The sequence below is a fragment of the Homo sapiens genome, chromosome 11 (assembly GCF_000001405.40).
Source record: "Homo sapiens chromosome 11, GRCh38.p14 Primary Assembly".
In the NCBI taxonomy this organism is placed as follows: Eukaryota; Metazoa; Chordata; class Mammalia; order Primates; family Hominidae; genus Homo; species Homo sapiens.
In genome coordinates this window covers 123868276-123886451 of record NC_000011.10, presented here as the reverse complement: position 1 = coordinate 123886451, position 18176 = coordinate 123868276, and the positions used below count along the sequence as shown (strand labels likewise).

At 38.7% G+C, this 18176-nt stretch overlaps 1 protein-coding gene across 3 annotated transcripts; it reads left to right on the top strand.

Moving 5' to 3' along the window:
- The first annotated feature begins 781 nt into the window (after positions 1-781).
- Positions 782-3532, top strand: TMEM225 (transmembrane protein 225). Of its 3 annotated transcripts, none has more exons than NM_001363605.2 (4): positions 782-1057; positions 1816-1962; positions 2243-2377; positions 3100-3532. In NM_001363605.2, exons 1-4 carry the CDS (start codon positions 1027-1029, stop codon positions 3312-3314), a joined length of 528 nt encoding a protein of 175 aa, NP_001350534.1. In that variant the 5' UTR covers positions 782-1026; the 3' UTR covers positions 3315-3532. The 3 variants fall into 3 exon arrangements, with proteins under 3 accessions (NP_001350534.1, NP_001013765.2, XP_011541104.1); NM_001013743.3 differs by having other exon boundaries at positions 782-1207; XM_011542802.4 differs by lacking the exon at positions 2243-2377 and having other exon boundaries at positions 782-1207.
- Positions 3533-18176: the final 14644 nt, after the last annotated feature.

The following is an 18176-nucleotide window of genomic DNA, read 5'->3' as shown; positions in this document are numbered from 1 at the left end:
AAAACGATAAATAATAATAATAAAGTATACAAAGATGTGTAGAGAGATCTAGAAGAAAGACAGCTTGACATGTTTGAGGTAATAAAAAAAAGTCTATTTTGAGCCAAGGAAAGTCACCTGCATTGAGGTCAGAAAATACGCAGAGTGAGGCCTTTGGAGATGAAGTTCATCTTAGTTGTGTAAAAGGCAAATTTTTTTTTTTTTTTTGGATTGTAGCAGAAGTCCTCTAGCTCTTGACTCTGAGGCCTACCATGTTTGCCTACTCAAGGAATCGAAAACTGTTTTATATGCCAAGTTAGAGGCAATTCTGTCAAGAAATGATTGTCCATGCCTTATAAATGAGATTGGGCTATAATGGCTCAGTGTATCTATCAGGCCAGTAGTTTGGTTTCAGGATGATGGTTTATTTCCTGGATGACTCCCTAACTAAATGTCACTGGGACCTCCCAATGGGAACACACATTTCTTCAAACATCCTAAATTTTGAGTGGTCATTCCCTGTTGTGATACTAGCTAGCTAACTATTTATCTCAATGATCTTGAAATCCTTTTCCTCTTCACTGGCCCCTACAAAATGTTAACTAATCTTGGAGCGTGTAATTCTAACTCCTAAATTGGACCTCTTTAGTCATGCACGTCTAACTTAATTCAAGGCCTCTAATGATCCCTGTATGTGACAGCTCTTTCTACATGTGATGTCAGATCCCTATATCTGATAGCTCTCTCAGGACTTCTGGACCCCTTGGTTCTTTCACTCCACTAGGCCCCAGGGTCAAGGGTCAAACCAATAGATGATTCCATGGCAGTTGGCAGTCCTGACAGCAGGCTGGCCCTGATAGATAACGGAAGTGAGGAAGGGTGAGAGTTATCTATCTTCTCTGTTTTATAGACTACTTCAGCTTCTGCTGTTACCAATGCCTCAGCAACCACTGAAAGTTCAGATATCACCCTTCTTGTAACTAATCAAATCAAGGAAGAGATCTACAAAATAGTGGTGGTGGTTCCAGCTAGAAATTTTCACTCACAATGGTGCATGTTTCAAATAGAAGTATCCAGGGTATGAACATACTTTTCTCCTCCTGGGCCGTAGTCTTAATGGTGATGGGAATCACCTTAGATAAATGGGTTGAATTGATTTCAGAAGATGAAAGAGCCAAGATGAACCACAGTCCTTGGATGATGTGTTGCCCTGCTCTTTGGCCAGAAGGTCAGAACTGTACTCTAGAAAGAGACGGGTGGAAAGGAAGGGTGTGTCCTTAACTTGGCTTTCCTTAACTTGCATTAATCTCACCAGTGTACCCATTATTTTCTGGTGCAGCTTCTCAAGTTGCAGTGTTCTTCCTTCCTTCCATAGTCAATACAGTCAAGGCAGATTCCAAAATCTCACCATTTAGGTGTTCTGGAGAAAAGTTTATATGTTCACAGCCTTAACTGCTGGGCATTTGAGAAGTCTCAGCAGTAGCAGCAGGGTGATCCACACAACTAGACATGTGGGTAAGAAAGAAACGTAACTGGCATTAAGTAATCTGTATTGCCACTAGATGATGGAGTGAATTGCGGTATTTAACAAGAATAGAGTTTGAAGAAAATAATAGAAGAGAAAGACACATAGAGAGACATCAGGATAGAGAAAATGTTTTTGGTTCTCTTATTCAGCTTAAGGTTCCCCTGCTTGTTATTTTCCAACTTCTTTCTTATTGTTTAATCAAATCTTTCACCCTATTCCAATTTTCACCTAGAGACTTCTGGACCCCAGGTAGAAATGAGTCTAGAAGAAATATCTGTCCTCTCAAAACAGCTTTTGCTTTCCAACAGATGACCTGAAAGTGGTCAGGATTATGATGACGTCGAGCCTTGGCCTTTCCTTCCTCCTTAACTTAATCCTGGGTATGAAATTCACCTATCTGATTCCTCAAAATAAATATATACAACTCTTCACTACCATCCTCAGTTTCTTCTCAGGTAACTTCCTGGCTCCCCTAACACAAGCTTGTAGGTGTACTTTGATGGGTGGGTTCAGGCTGCAGTCTCTGAAAACTATATATATATATATGTAGCTTCTGAGTTAGATCTACCATAAAAGCAGGATCAGGATCAGTCTTTGGGCAAGGTGTAGTTGGACCGGGTGGGGGTTGGGAAGTCAAGTGTATATGGAATGAAGACTTGCATCAAGGAGCCAAAGTTCCTCAGAAGGGACTTTTTTCTTTTTCTTTTTTTTTTTTTTTTTTTGTCTGGACATCAGGTATCTCTCTGCTCTGGGCACTCATACTATATCACAATAAGCTGAAGCAAGGTCAATCCATGCACTTCTCTAGTTATAGGATCACCTGGATCATGTATACTGCTTACTTAAATGTTTTCTTCTTGTCTGTCTGTGGTGAGTGTCTCCAGGGCCCCTGAAGGGTGTTAAGAACCAATCCATCCCCGACAGAGGGAAGGGTAAAAAGATGAGAATAGAGGGAAAAGTGCCAAACCTTGCATTTTAAAAGGCTGCAGCTCACCTGGATTCATTCTCTGATGACAGTTCCTCCAAGAAGAGTGGGAGGTCAGGCCTATGTGAGATGTCTGCTGTGCCTGGCCTCAGAGGGTAGCTCCCCATCTCCGCCTTTTATTTGCCTTTCACACCCTCCCCGCTTTGGGGCAGAGATAACCACCAAAGTCATGACCAAGGTGGGTGTCTGAGACAGAATGCTCAGCCTCTGTGGAGAGGAACAGTGACCTTGGGAGTACAGTGTAGTGTCAAGGCAGTTTGAGGGCAGAGAGAAACAACATCTGATGCTAGATGGCCATCTACCGAAACCGAAGTCTCCCCTTTCCTAAGAAGTCTTTAAAATTTCATTTGTAATTACACTTCCTAACCCAAAAAGAAGCATGTTCTCTTTCAAAAAGAATCCTCAATTTTCTTAAGCTGAGCAGAATTTAAGCTATTGTACATACACTTCCGGTTTCTTCCACTAAAGCATTCACCTCCCAGATGGCTTTCGGTAGTTAAAAGGGATCCACTGGGCTTTGGGTCAGGGTCTTCAGCCAAATTGGAGAGAATTGTTTCTGACTCTCCATTGTCCCTTCATCCCACTCCCTGGAATCTCTTTTCCCTAGGAGTCCTCTCTCTCCTAGAGTGCAAGTTGTCTACCAGTAGCTGTACCTGCCTGAACATCCATAAATCTGACAACGAATGTAAGGAATCTGAGAATTCTATCGAAGATATTTCATTACCAGAATGCACTGCAATGCCTCGTAGCATTGTCCGTGCACACACTGTGAATTCCCTAAACAAAAAAGTCCAAACACGTCACGTAACCTGGGCTCTGTGATTTGGCAATCTATTTCTTGCAGTATATGCTCATCTTTATGGAAAAAGCTTTGTGGGTGTGTGCTGTGTCTCCAACCATGTTGTCTCTATTTGGAATTATGGTTGGGGTTTGTAAAAAGATCTGGAAGATGGTTTTTTAAAAAATCCTGGCCTGCTGAACGAATAGTTTCTTCTGCAACATTTGTTGTTAATATAATAAATATTATCATATAAATAATACTTTCTGTATTGTTAAGTCTATACATCACAAACACTTATAATGATATATAACAGTTGTATTGTGAAATATTTCAAACATACATAAGAAATACAAAATGATGATCAAACACCTATGTACACATCAACCCAACTTTATAAAATTTTAACATTATTTCCTGGAGAAGTTTTTCCGTTAAATTTATAGATATAACTGATGTTCCTCTAAAAACTTCTCCAATTTCATTTCCATCTCTTGTTTCCTATCATAAAACACTTTTAAGGATGCGTTGCTGATGATTCTACATTCATGTTGACATTTTCACTACAAATTTATACATCTATAAAAATTATATAGACCAGCTTTTCAAATGTTTGAAAGTTGATCAATATTACACTGTAGAGATCATGTTGTATTTATTTTCATAAATTGCTGAAATAAATCTTCTAATTATTTTAGAATTCCTGAATCTATCTATGTAAGTAAAACTTGGTTCCTTCATGCCTTTTTGTGGTTCATACTTTGTGGGGCTAAGTAATATTCCATCGTAAGACTGTACCACAGTTGGTTTATCTATTTCACCTACTGAAGGATATCTTGGTTGTTTCCAAGTTTGGGCAGTTATGAATAAAACTGTTATAAACACCTGTGTGCAGGTTTTTGTGTGAACATAAGCTTTCAACTTTTTTGGGTAAATACCAAGGAACATGATTGCTGGGTTATATGAGAAGAATGTGTTTAGTTTTGTAAAAAACTTCCAAACTGTCTTCCAAAGTGGCTATACCATTTTGCATTCTACCAGCAATATATGAGAGTTCCTGCCGTACCACATCCTTGTCAGCATTTGATGTTGTCAGTATTGTGAATTTTGACCACTTTAATAGATGTGAATGTGTCTTATTGTTTAAATTTGCAATTCTCTAGTGATTTATAATGTGAAAAGCATCTTTTCATATGGTTACTTGGCATCTATGAGGTATCTGTTCCATTCTTTTGCCCTGTTTGTAATCAGCCTTTTCATTTTTTTGGTGAGTGTTTAAATGTTATTTGTATATTTTGGATAACAGTCCTTTATCAGATATGTCTTGCAAATACTTTCTCCCAGCCCGTGGTTTGTATTTTCATTCTTGACAACGTCTTTTGTAGCACACTGGTTTTTAATTTTAATAAAGTCCAGCTTATTAATTCTTATTGTGCCTTCAGTGTTCTACCAAAAAGTCATCATCATACTCAAATTCATCTACATTTTCTCCTGTCTTATCTTCTAGTTTTATCTATTTCCATGATTCATCTTGATTTAATTTTTTTGGAAGGTATAAGGTCTGTGTTCAGATTTCTTTGTTTTCATGTTGATGTCCAGTTGTTCTGGCACCATTTATTGAAAAGCCTTCATTGAATTTCCTTTGCTCCTGGGTCTATTTCTGGACTCTCTGTTCTATTCCGTTGATCTATTTGTCTTTTTTTTTTCACCAAAACCACATTGTCTTCATCACTACAGCTTCATAGTAAGTCCTGAGATCAGGTAATGTCAGTCCTCTGACTTTGTTCTTCTGAAATATTATGTTGGCTATTCTGGGTCTTTTTCATCTCTCTATAAACTTGAGAATCCAGTTGTCAATGTCCACAAAATAACTTGCTGAGATTTTTATTGGAATGTGTTGAAACTGTAGAATAAGTTAGGCAAAATTGACATCTTGACAATATTGAGTCTCCCTATCCATGAATATGTAATATATATCCATTTACTGAGTTATTTGATTTTTTATCAGAGTTTTGTAATTTTCCTGGTGGATTTTATTACAGTTGGTGCAAAAGTAATTGCGGTTTTCAACCATTACTTTTAACGACAAAAAGCCACAATTACTTTTGCACTATAGTATTTTGTTAGATTTATAGCTAAGTATTTTAATTTGGGGGATGCTAATGTAAATGGGATTGTGTTTTTCACATTTCAGATTTCACGTGTTCATTTCTGGCATATAAGAAAGCAATTGACTTTTATACATTAACCTGTATCCGGGAGTCTTGGGTTTTTTTTTTTTTTTTAATCTTTCAGGTTTTCTATACATACAATCATGTCATCTGTGAACAAAAAGTTTTATTTATGACTTCCCAATTTGTATACATTTTCTTTTCTTCTTGCACTTTCAGCACGTCTAGGATGATGTTGAAAAGGAGCGATTAGAGGAGACATATTTGCTTTGTTCCTGATCTTAGTGGGAAAGCTTCTCATTTCTCAACATTAAGTATGATGTTTAAGTCAATTTTTTTCTAGATGTTCTTTATCAGATTGAGGTAGTTTCCCTCTATTTCTTGTTTTGGGAGAGTTTTTATTATAAACCAGTCTTGGATTTTGTCAAATCTTTTCCTGTATCTATTGATATGATCATGTGATTTTTCCTTGTTAGCCTGTTATGTGATGGGCCACATTAGTTGATTTTCAATGGTGAAATATCTTGTTGAAGATTTTTGCATCTACCTTCATGAGAGATGTTCTGTAGTTTATTTGCTTATAATGTCTTTGTCTGGTTTTGGGTAACACTACCCTTATAGAATGTTTAAAATTCCCTCTGCTTCTGTCTTCTGGAAGAGGTTATAGAAAATTGGTATAATTTCTTCTTCAAATGTTTAGCACATTTCAGAGGAGAACCTATCTGGGCCTTGTGCTTTCTATTTTGGAAGGTTATTAATCATTAGTTCAATTTCTTTAATAGATACAGGCCTATGAAGAGTGTTTGTTTGTTCTTATGTTGGTCGTGGCACATTGTTTCTTTCAAAGAATTGGTTATCAAATTTGTGGCCACAGAGGTGTTCACAAAATTATTTTATTATTATTTTACTCCCCATGGGATCTGTTGTTATATGACCTCTTTCATTTCTGATATTAGTAATTTGTGTCTTCTCTTCTTTTTCTTACTTAGCCTGGCTGGAAGTTTATTAATTTTACTAATAATTTTGCAAAACCAGTTTTTGGTTTTCTTTAATTTTCTTTACTGATTTCCTGTTTTCAACTTCATTGACCTCTCTAATTTTTTTCTTCTGATTATTTTGGATTTGATTTACTCTGCTTTTTCCAGTTTCCTAAAATGGAAGTTTAAATTACTGATTGTAAATATTTATTCTTTTCAATTACAGTTGACCCTTGAGCAACACAGGTTTGAACTATGTAGGTCTACTTATACATGGATTTTTTTCAATAAATATGTTGCAAAATATTTCGGAAATCTGTGACAATTTGAAAATTCTTGCAGACAAGCTGCATAGACTAGAAATATCAAAAAAATTAGAAAACATTGCGTGTGTCATGAATGCATAACAGCTGTAGATACTAGTCTATTTTATTATTTACTACCACATTATATACACAAATCTGTTATAAAAAAGTTAAAATTTATCAACACATGCACACAAACACAGACAATATGTAGTACCAGTTGCAATTGAGAGAAATACAAAAAAAGCAGTGTTAAATAATAACTGCATAAAATTTACTGTAGTACATGTTGTACTACTGTAATAATTTTGTAGCCACCTCTGTTGCTATTGCGTTGAGCTCAAGTGTTGACCATCCACTGAAAACGGTATGACACTAATCATATCCATGTGAGCAGTTTGTCTTTCTGGTAAATTGCATATCACAGTAAAAAGTAATCTCTCATGATTCTTGCATATTTTCATGCTTAGTGCAATACAGTAAATCTTGAATAACACCATGGGACTCATATGAAGTGCCACTGGTGATGCTGAAAGTGCTCCCAAGAGGCAAAGTCATGAAGTTAGAAGAAAAAGTTGAATTGCTTTATATGTACCATAGATTGAGGTTTGCAACTGCAGCTGTTCACCATTTCAAGATAAATGAATTAAGTGAAAGGATCGTAATATAAAATGAAGAACAAATTTGTGAAGCTATCACTGAAGTTATGCCAGCAAATAAAAAAAATGTACTTTTTGCTAAATACCTTTTAATCTCACATTGAAAATGTAGCTTTTGGCGCGGTGGTTCACGCCTATAATCCCAGCACTTTTGGGAGGCTGAGGTGGGCAGATTTCCTGAGGTCAGAAGTTCAAGACCAGCCTGGCCTACATGGGAAAACCCCATCTCCACTAAAAATACAAAAATTAGCTGGGTGTGGTGGCAGGTGCCTGTAATCCCAGCTACTCAGGAGACTGAGGCAGGAGTATCTCTTGAACCCAGGAGGCAGAGGTTGCAAAGAGCGGAGTCCATGCCATTACACTCCAGCCTAGGTGATAAGAAGGAAACTCCATCTCAAAAAAAAAAGAAAGGAAAGAAAATGTAGCTTTCATGTCACTGAAGGATTGTTATAAGAAGGACATACCTGACCGGGTGCAGAGGCTGATGCCTGTAATCCCATGATATGTGTAAGTGGAGATATGCAATCCCTCTTATTAAAAAGAAGGGTGCATAATGATGGAACAATAATACAATCTACCAATGTTGCTTAATGTTTGCTTTGTATATCCCTTTTCTATTCTTTTGTTTTTCAATTACTACTTCTGCTTCTGTATTAGGTGTGCCTCGAATAAACAAACTACACTTGAATTGCTTAGTATCCCTTTTCTATTCTTTTATTTTTCAATTATTACTTCTGCTTCTGTATTAGGTGTGCCTCAAGTAAACAAACTATATTTGAATTGCTTAAGTTAATGCAGCAATCTCTGGCTTTTAATAGATAGAAATGTCAAAGCTTCAAGGCTTTGATAGTAAGAAATTGATGGGTCCCAAAGACTGAATTTGTGTCCTTGAATAGAGGCGCTAAGAGCCACAATGCAAAGAACACATACAGGATACACTGTCAGAGAGAAATGTTAATTGACCACCTCTCCATTCCATGTCTGGCTGCTTTGGAAGGTGTCGATCCCATATCTTTTTGAGATTACTTTTTAAATCTAGAAAATATCTGTGTTCACTTATTTACATCTAGTCATCACTCTAATTCATCAACCTTAGGGCTTTAGGCTAGTATAAGGATTAGGTATAGACTAATATAAATATGGAGAAAGTTACCTTTTATAGATCTTTGCAAAAATAAGAAGAGTTTATCTGCATTTTAACAGAGAAATAAAGGTACGTTTATTATTTCAGGCCATTAGAAGGATCATTATTGCAGCATTCTTAGGAAAGAAAAATATGACTTAATTTTGTCAAACATTTAGAAAGATTAAAAGTTTTCATGTTTCCAGTTTCCACAATGCTCTAATGCAGGCCACCAAGCTTTCATTAACTGAATAAAACAAAACAGCAGGAACAATTCCCCTAGAGTCCCGAGGGAGTCTATTTGGCATTTCCCACTAAACTTCGTAATTGTGACTGATTTTTCAGGCTTAAAATGCTTTGATTACAACAATAGTAATTAACCTCTTTCACTCAATGTTCCCAAGAGTCATTCTCAATCAAATCCCTAAGAGCAAGCATGAGCTTCAAATGTCACAGTTTATTAATGGCCTATTTTAATAGAGAAAAGGACATGTCACGTCCTAGAGTCAGAAAAAGAGGTAGAAGCTCAACGTTCCATTTACCTTATAAAGGATGTGGAGTTTTCAGAATATATACATAAAAATAACTGGTAAGCAAATTCTAAGTCAACGTAATGGCAGATTTTATGGTAGAGATGGACAAAGATGTAATGGACTATCCACAGTAAGTCTCTCAGGCTAGAACAATATTTTGGAAGAATATTGATATTTTGACCTTGATAGGACTACGTGATCCTAAATATCTCTTTCAATCCTGACATTTTTTTCTGGATCTTAAAATGTTCCAGTTACTCAGTTACTCAAAGTAGTAAGAACATTTCCAAACATGGAACATGCTGCTGAGATTAACATATCTGCATTTACTAAACTAGAGCTGAGCCCTAGTTCTGATTTACCAGACTTCTCAACTTGTTTTCCCTTTCTGAAAAAGTGGGAATAAGAGCCCCTACTATGCCTGCCTGTGAGTAATGAAAATCTTTGAGTCACACAGAGCCGCATTCAATCTGGCTTTGCTACCTACTAGCTATGTGATTTTAAGTAAGCTAACCTCCATAAATTTCCGCAAAATGTTTATTTTAACAATTCTCGATGAAAAGAGTCAAACTCCGTAAAATATTTGAAGAGATTTATTCTGAGCCAAATATGAGTGACCATGGCCCATGACATGGCCCTTAGAAGGTCCTGAGAACATGTGCCCAAGGTGGTTGTGGTGCAGCTTGGTTTTATACATTTTAGGGAGGCATGAAATATCAATCAAATACATTTGAGAAATACATTGGTTTGGTCTGGAAAGGTGGGATAATTTGAAGCTGGAAAGGGGCTTCCAGGCTATAGGTAGAGTTAAACATGTTCTAGTTTACAATTGGTTGAGTTTGTCTAAAGACCTGGGATTAATAGAAAGACAATGTTCAGATTAAGATAAAAGACTGTGGAGACCAAGGTTCTTTTGAAGTCTCACAGTGGCTGCCTTAGAGACAATAGATGACAGATGTTTCCTATTGAGGCCTTTAAAAGGTGCTAGCCCAAAATCTCCTTCAGCTGATAAGCTACTTCAGCAAAGTCTCAGAATACAAAATCAGTATGCAAAAATCACAAGCATTCCTACCCACCAATAATAGACAAACCGAGAGCCAAGTCATGGGTGAACTCCCATTAACAATTGCTACAAAGAGAATAAAATAGCTAGGAATACAACTTACAAGAGATGAGAAGGACCTCTTCAAGGAGAACTACAAACCACTGCTCAAGAAAATAAGAGAGGACACAAACAAATGGAAAAACATTCCATGCTCATGGATAGAAACAATCAATATTGTGAAAATGGCCATACTGCCCAAAGTAATTTATAGATTCAATGCTATCTCCATCAAGCTATGATCGGCTTTCTTTACAGAATTAGAAAAAAACTACTTTAAATATCATATGGAACCAAAAAAGAGCCCATATAGCCAAAACAATCCTAAGCAAAAAGAACAAAGCTGGAGGCATCACGCTACCTGATTTTAAATTATACTACAAGGCTACAGTAACCAAAACAGCATGGTACTGGAACCAAAACAGAGATATAGACCAATGGAACAGAACAGAGACCTCAGAAATAACACCACACATCTACAACCATCTAATCTTTGACAATCCTGACAAAAACAAGCAATAGGGAAAGGATTCCCCATTTAATAAATGGTGTTGGGAAAACTGGCTAGCCATATGCAGAAAACTGAAACTGGACCCCTTCCTTACACTTATACGAAAATTAATTCAAGATGGATTAAAGACTTAAACGTAAGACCTAAAACCATAAAAACCCTAGGAGAAAACCTAGGCAATACCATTCAGGACATAGGCATGGGCAGAGACTTCATGACTAAAACACCAAAATCAAGGGCAACAAAAGCCAAAATTGACAAATGGGATCTAATTAAACTAAAGAGCTTCTGAACAGCAAAAGAACTATTACCAGAGTGAACAGGCAACCTAGAGAATGGGAGAAAATTTTTGCAATCTATCCATCTGACAAAGAGCTAATATCCAGAATCTACAAAGAACTTAAACAAATTTACAAGAAAAAAACAACCCCATCAAGAAAGTGGGCGAAGGATAAGAACAGACACTTCTCAAAAGAAGACATTTATGTGGCCAACAAACATATGAAAAAAAGCTCATCATCACTGGTCATTAGAGAAATGCAAATCAAAACCACAATGAGATACCACCTCACGCCAGTTAGAATGGTGATCATTAAAAAGTCGGAAAACAACAGGTGCTGGAGAGGATGTGGAGAAATAGGAATGCTTTTACACTGTTGGTGAGAGTGTAAATTAGTTCAACCATTGTGGAAGACAGTGTGGCGACTCCTCAAGGATCTAGAACCAGAAATACCATTTGACCCAGCAATTCCATTACTGGGTATATACCAAAAGGATTATAAATCATTCTATTATAAAGACACATGCATACATATGTTTATCGCAGCACCATTCACAATAGCAAAGACTTGGAACCAACCCAAATGCCCATCAGTGATAGACCGGATAAAGCAAATGTGGCACATATACACCATGGAATACTATGCAGCCCTAAAAAAGGATGAGTTCATGTCCTTTGTAGCGACATGGACGAAGCTGGAAACCGTCATTCTCAGCAAACTAACACAGGAACAGAAAACCAAATACTGCATGTTTTCACTCATAAGTGGGAGTTCAACAATGAGAACACATGGACACAGGGAGCGGACCATCACACACCAGGGCCCGAGGGGCGTGGGGGGCTAGGGGAGGGATACTATTAAGAGAAATACCTAATGTAGATGACAGATCGATGGGTGCAGCAAACCATCATGGCACGTGTATACCTAGGTAACAAACCTGCCCATTCTGCACATGTATCCCAGAACTTAAAGTATAATAATAATAATAAAGAACCCAGTAAGAGGAATCAGGAAGGGGGGAGGGAGAGAGAAGGGAGAGACAGAAATATGCAATTTTAAAGAGAGTAGTGAGGGTAGGCTTTATGATCACGGAAGTCTCTCAATCATTTTGCACCTCACTTTCCACAACCAAAAAAGAAGCTCATAGTAGTATATGATAGTTATGAAAACAAAATGAGCCTATGACATACAACAACACCACACATAAACTGAGAAGTTCTATACATGTATTGATTATAATTAATCTATGAACTGTAATTTTTCTATGTGATCTTTGGCAAATCATTTCTTGTGGCAGACATCCGCATCTGTGGCAGAGACTGCTAGACGTCCCCCATTTCCATGCCTCACACACCCCTTCCCAATAGAGAGTGGGGACTTTCAGTTAGGCACATAGCCACTCAGTATAAAAGTAACATTTCCTAGCTTGCCTCTCACCTGGATGTGGTCAGGTGACTAAGTTCTGGCTAATAGAAAAGGTTTGAAATTTTCTTGTGGTAGATTCCAGAAATCTTCCTTGAGAGACACTGGCATGTTCTTATGGTTCCCACGCTCCTCCTACCATCCCATTTTTTCCATCCTGCTGCATGGGACATAGATATGATAGCTGGAGCTACATAATGGACCATAAGAATGAAGACCACACCCTAAAGATGGTGAAACCTGAAAGTGAAAGGAGGTGGGACCTTGAATAACTTGGGGAGCTGTCTTACCAGCCCTGAACTTTCTACCTCTAATTTTTATGTGATAAATAAGCTTTTTTACATCCTTGTTACTTAGAGTGTGGTCCTCAACCCACCAGCATCATCAGTATTCCTTGCAACCTTGTCAGAACTGCAGATTTTCAGGCCCCATCCTGATGCATCGAATGACAATCTGCATTTTTACAATCCCCAGCTAATCCCTATGCTCAGTAAACTCGGAAAGGAATTAGTTTAAACCACTGTTATTTTATATGTCTCCTTATAGCTGATCATTGTCTCCACTGATAACAATATTTTATTTTATCTGTTCAAATAAGTGGATAGTTGAACAATTCCTGAGATTTTAACCACCTTATGAGTCTATGTCTCTTTGATTTATATTTACATTGAAAATATATTCTTTTTGTTCCTCAATGAAAAATTATTTTAAATATCCAGACATTTTTCTAGCACTGTCCTATAATATACCACCGGTTTCCAAAAAAATCTGCAAACACCATTCACCTAGAGTATAATTTATAGTGGAATGTATTTGATATGGTTTTTCTGTGTCCCCACCCAAATCTCATCTTGAATTGTAGCTCCCATAATTCCCAAATATTGTGGGAGGGACCCAGTGGGAGGTAATTGAATCATGGGGGCAGGTCATGATAGTGAATAAGTCTCATGAGATCTGATGATTTTATAAAGGGGAGTTTCCCTGCACATACTCTCTTTTGCCTGATGACATGTAAGATGTGACTTTGCTCCTCATTCACCTTCTGCCATGATTGTGAGGCCTCCTCAGCCATGTGGAACTGTGAGTCAATTAAACCTCTTTCCTTTATAAATGAAAAAAAAAAAAATGTACTAGACTCTCAGTTAATCTCTTCAGGATTGGGAGGGCCTGGAAGAAAAAGATCTAGCTATGTTAATAGAGATTCTTTACAGATGCAAATTTTCCCCCACAAAGGACAGCTTTGCAAGGCCTTTTCAAAATATGGCAAAGAAACATGTTTTGGGGTAAAGTATTTTGACTTTCTTATTTGTCACATAATGTTATGCCAGAGTCAGACTGGAAAGTAAGTCATGATATACAGGGTTAAATAAACCCATCTGATGAGAATTTATGATTTGTAGGGCATGACTCCCCAGACTCCTTAGACAGGAATTTGGGTAAGATAAAAATAAAATCAGAGCTTAGTCCTCACAGTCTACAAAAATGTAGGCCTAAAAATGTAGATCATAACAACACCTACCTTCAACTTCAAAGGGTTGTTCAAACAGCAGAGTCCTAAAGTGGACTAAAACAACTACCGACAAAATTGCGAGGAAAATCTGACAAATTCAAAATTGATTTTAGGTATAATTTAATATACATGTACCAGAAACTGATAGCTCAATAAAAGAAGTGTTATGAAAACACAAAAGCTTCAAAACTAAAAATTAGCAGGAAAACTTTGTATCTAAGAAATAGAAAATGCACATTTTTTTTCTAATGCCATTCAAAAAGTTTTAAAGCATCTAAAACAGTGCCTGGCACATACTAACCAAGAATTCAATGTATGTCAGCTAGTAACACAGCTATTATTTGAGACCAAAAATTAGAAATCAAGGCCTGTGGAGAAGATGAGAGTAGTGACTTTGTACAGGTTTCAGTGAAAGTCACTGGGAAAAAAGTATTGCCTCAAGTTAAAGAATTTTCTAACGATCAGAGATAACAAAATATGAAACAAGATATATGAATGAGCAGGACGTTCCCAAAAGTAAGAGAAGGAACACATCCACCCTAGGTACAATGCTTGTATATGTGAGGAGATGTGCTCTGCTACAAGGGCTCCTGACTTCTAAATGTGACTTTAATTTACTCACTTGTAAATGGAGGTACAATAAATACCTTCTGCTTAGGATGACAGTAAGAATGGAAATTAGATAAGGTATTTACTTACCAGCAAACAACTAACACAGTACCTGGAACAAAATAGCTGTTCAGTAAATGTTTTTGAAAAAAATAAATAAATAAACAAAAACAGGACCGGAAGCAGGGTAGGTGGAAAGGAAGGAAAAACATTTAAGGATAAAATACAAAGAAAATACATTGCCATGAATAATAAAAATGTGAAATTTTAATATGCAGTGGAGGTGTGATAACACAGATCTCTCTGCTTAACCTGTTTGACTTCTGTCCACAATAAAACCCTTGATAGTGCAAAGATCTTAAAACTGTTTGACCTTCTAAGACACATGGCTGTCTGCATATGCATATACTTATACCATGTAATAAAATGTGAGACAGTCTTATATCCTGCAGACAATTCACAATTGACCTGGCAGTTCTCATCACATATGATAAATTATTTTCTTGATCTGACTTAGATTTCTTAGAAAACATAGTATTGGTGTCAGGCCAATATTGTCACCTTCCAACTACAAAGTCCATCACATAGTTCCCACTATACAATATTGCTTAGCTTATACACAAAACTTTAAATGAGAAATTTATTTGGCTTTTTATTTTTCAGATGTTGAGGTAGTATCTTGTGATAGGTGCTCAGGATAATCCGTATTTATATAAATTGACCCTTGGAGATGGAAGTAAATGTAAACCTCATGTAATACTACCATTCAGTAAGGACACTGACACTCAGAACTTAAAGAAAAAATAAATTATTTTCTGATTTTACTCTACTTAATCTTAGTTACCTGTTCTGTCTACAGTTCAATCACAAGGAAACAAGTTCATGTGGTTACAAGGAGTACTGACATGAATAGTGTCAGGCCTCTGAGCCCAGCTAAGCCATCATATCCCCTGTGACCTGCACATACACACCTAGATGGCCAGTTCCTGCCTTAACCAATGACAGTCCACCACAAAAGAAGTGAAAATGGCCTGTTCCTGCCTTAACTGATGACATTATCTTGTGAAATTCCTTCTCCTGGCTCATCCTGGCTCAAAACGTCCCCTGCTGAGCACCTTGTGACCCCCCACTCCTGCCTGCCAGAGAACAACCCCACTTCTTCCTTTACCTACCCAAATCTTATAAAATGGCCCCACCCTATCTCCCTTTGCTGACTGTCTTTCGGACTCAGCCCGGTTGCACCCAGGTGAAATAAACAGCCTTGTTGCTCACACAAAGCCGGTTTGGCGGTCTCTTCACACAGACGTCCATGAAATTTGGTGCCGTGACTCGGATCGGGGGACCTCCCTTGGGAGATCAATCCCCTGCTCTCCTGCTCTTTGCTCCGTGAGAAAGATCCACCTATGACCTCAGGTCCTCAGACCGACCAGCCCAAGGAACATCTCACTAATTTCAAATCTGGTAAGTGGCCTCTTTTTACTCTCTTCTCCAACCTCCTTCACTATCCCTCAACCTCTTTCTCCTTCAATCTTGGCACCACACTTCAATCTCTCCTTTCTCTTAACTTCAGTTCCTTTCCTTTTCTGGTAGAGACAAAGGAGATGCGTTTTATCCATGGACCCAAAACTCCGGCGCCGGTCACGGACTCAGGAAGGCAGGCTTCCCTTGCTGTTTAATCATTGCGGGACGCCTCTCTGATTATTCACCCACGTTCCATTGGTGTCTGATCTCCGTGGGGATGCCTGCCTTGATCATTCACCCATGTTCCCTTGGTGGCAAGTCAATTGCGGGGACGCCTGCTTTGGCTGCTCACCCACATTGCAGCCCAGAGCTGCTCCCCACCCCCTTCTCCGTGTCTCTACCCTTCTCTTTAAACTTGCCTCCTTCACTATAGGCAACCTTCCACCCTCCATTCCTCCTCCTCCCTTAGCCTGTATTCTCAAGAACTTAAAACCTCTTCAACTCACACCTGACCTAAAACCTAAACACCTTATTTTCTTCTACAATGACACTTGACCCCAATACAAACTCGACAGTAGTTCCAAATAGCCAGAAAATGGCACTTGCTATTTTTCCATCCCACAAGATCTAAATAATTCTTGTCGTAAAATAGGCAAATGGTCTGAGGTGCCTGACGTCCAGGCATTCTTTTACACATTGGTCCCTCCCTAGTCTCTGTTCCCAATGCAACTCGTCCCAAATCTTCCTTCTTTCCCTCCTGCCTGTCCCCTCAGTCCCAACCCCAAGTGTCACTGAGTCTTTCTAATCTTCCTTTTCTACAGATCCATCTGACCTCTCCCCAGCTCGGCAGGCCAAGCTAGGTCCCAATTCTTCCTCAGCCTCTGCTCCTCCACCCTATAATCCTTTTATCACCTCCCCTCCTCACACTCGGTCTGGCTTACAGTTTCATTCTGTGACTAGCCCTCCCCCACCTGCCCGGCAATTTCCTCTTAAAAAGGTGGCTGGAGCTAAAGCCATAATCAAGGTTAATGCTCCTTTTTCTTTATCGCAAATCAGATAGCATTTAGGCTCTTTTTCATCAAATATAAAAATCCAGCCCAGTTCATGGCTTGTTTGGCAGCAACCCTGAGATGCTTTACAGCCCTAGACCCTAAAAGGTCAAAAGGCCATCTTATTCTCAATATACATTTTATTACCCAATCCACTCCCAACATTAAATAAAACTCCAAAGACTAAATTCCAGCCCTCAAACCCCTCAACAGGACTTAATTAACCTTGCCTTTGAGGTGTACAATAATAGAGTAGAGGCAGCCAAATAGCAACATATTCCTGAGTTGCAATTCCTTGCCTCCACTGTGAGACAAACCCCAGCCACATCTCCAGCACACAAGAACTTCCAAACGCCTAAACCGCAGTGGCCAGGCATTCCTCCAGAACTGCCTCCCCCAGGAGCTTGCTACAAGTGCCAGAAATCTGGCCACCAGGCCAAGGGATGCCCGCAGCCCAGGATTCCTCCTAAGCCACATCCCATCTGTGCAGGACCCCACTGGAAATCAGACTGTCCAACTCACCTGGCAGCCACTCCCAGAGCCCCTGGAACTCTGGCCCAAGGCTTTCTGACTGACTCCTTCCCAGATCTTCTCGGCTTAGCAGCTGAAGACTGACACTGCCCAATGGCCTCAGAAGCCCCCTAGACCATCATGGATGCCGAGCTTCGAATAGCTCTCACAGTGGAAACTAAGTCCGTCCCCTTCTTAATCAATACGGAGGCTACCCACTCCACATTACCTTCTTTTCAAGAGTCTGTTTCCCTTGCCTCCATAACTGTTGTAGGTATTGATGGCCAGGCTTCTAAACCTCTTAAAACTCCCCAACTCTGGTGCCAACTTAGACAATACCTTTTTAAGCACTCCTTTTTAGTTATCCCCACCTGCCCAGTTCCCTTATTAAGCTGAGACATTTTAACTAAATTATCTGCTTCCCTGACTATTCCTGGACTACAGCCACATCTCATTGCCACCTTTCTTCCCAATCCAAAGCCTCCTTTGTGTCCTCCTCTTGTACCTGCCCCCCCCACCTTAACCCACAAGTATAGGATACCTCTACTCCCTCCTTGGTGACCGATCATGCACTCCTTACCATCTCATTAAAACCTAATCACCCTTACCCCGCTCAATGCCAATATCCCATCCGCAGTGCACTTTAAAAAGATTAAAGCCTGTTATCACTCGCCTGCTACAGC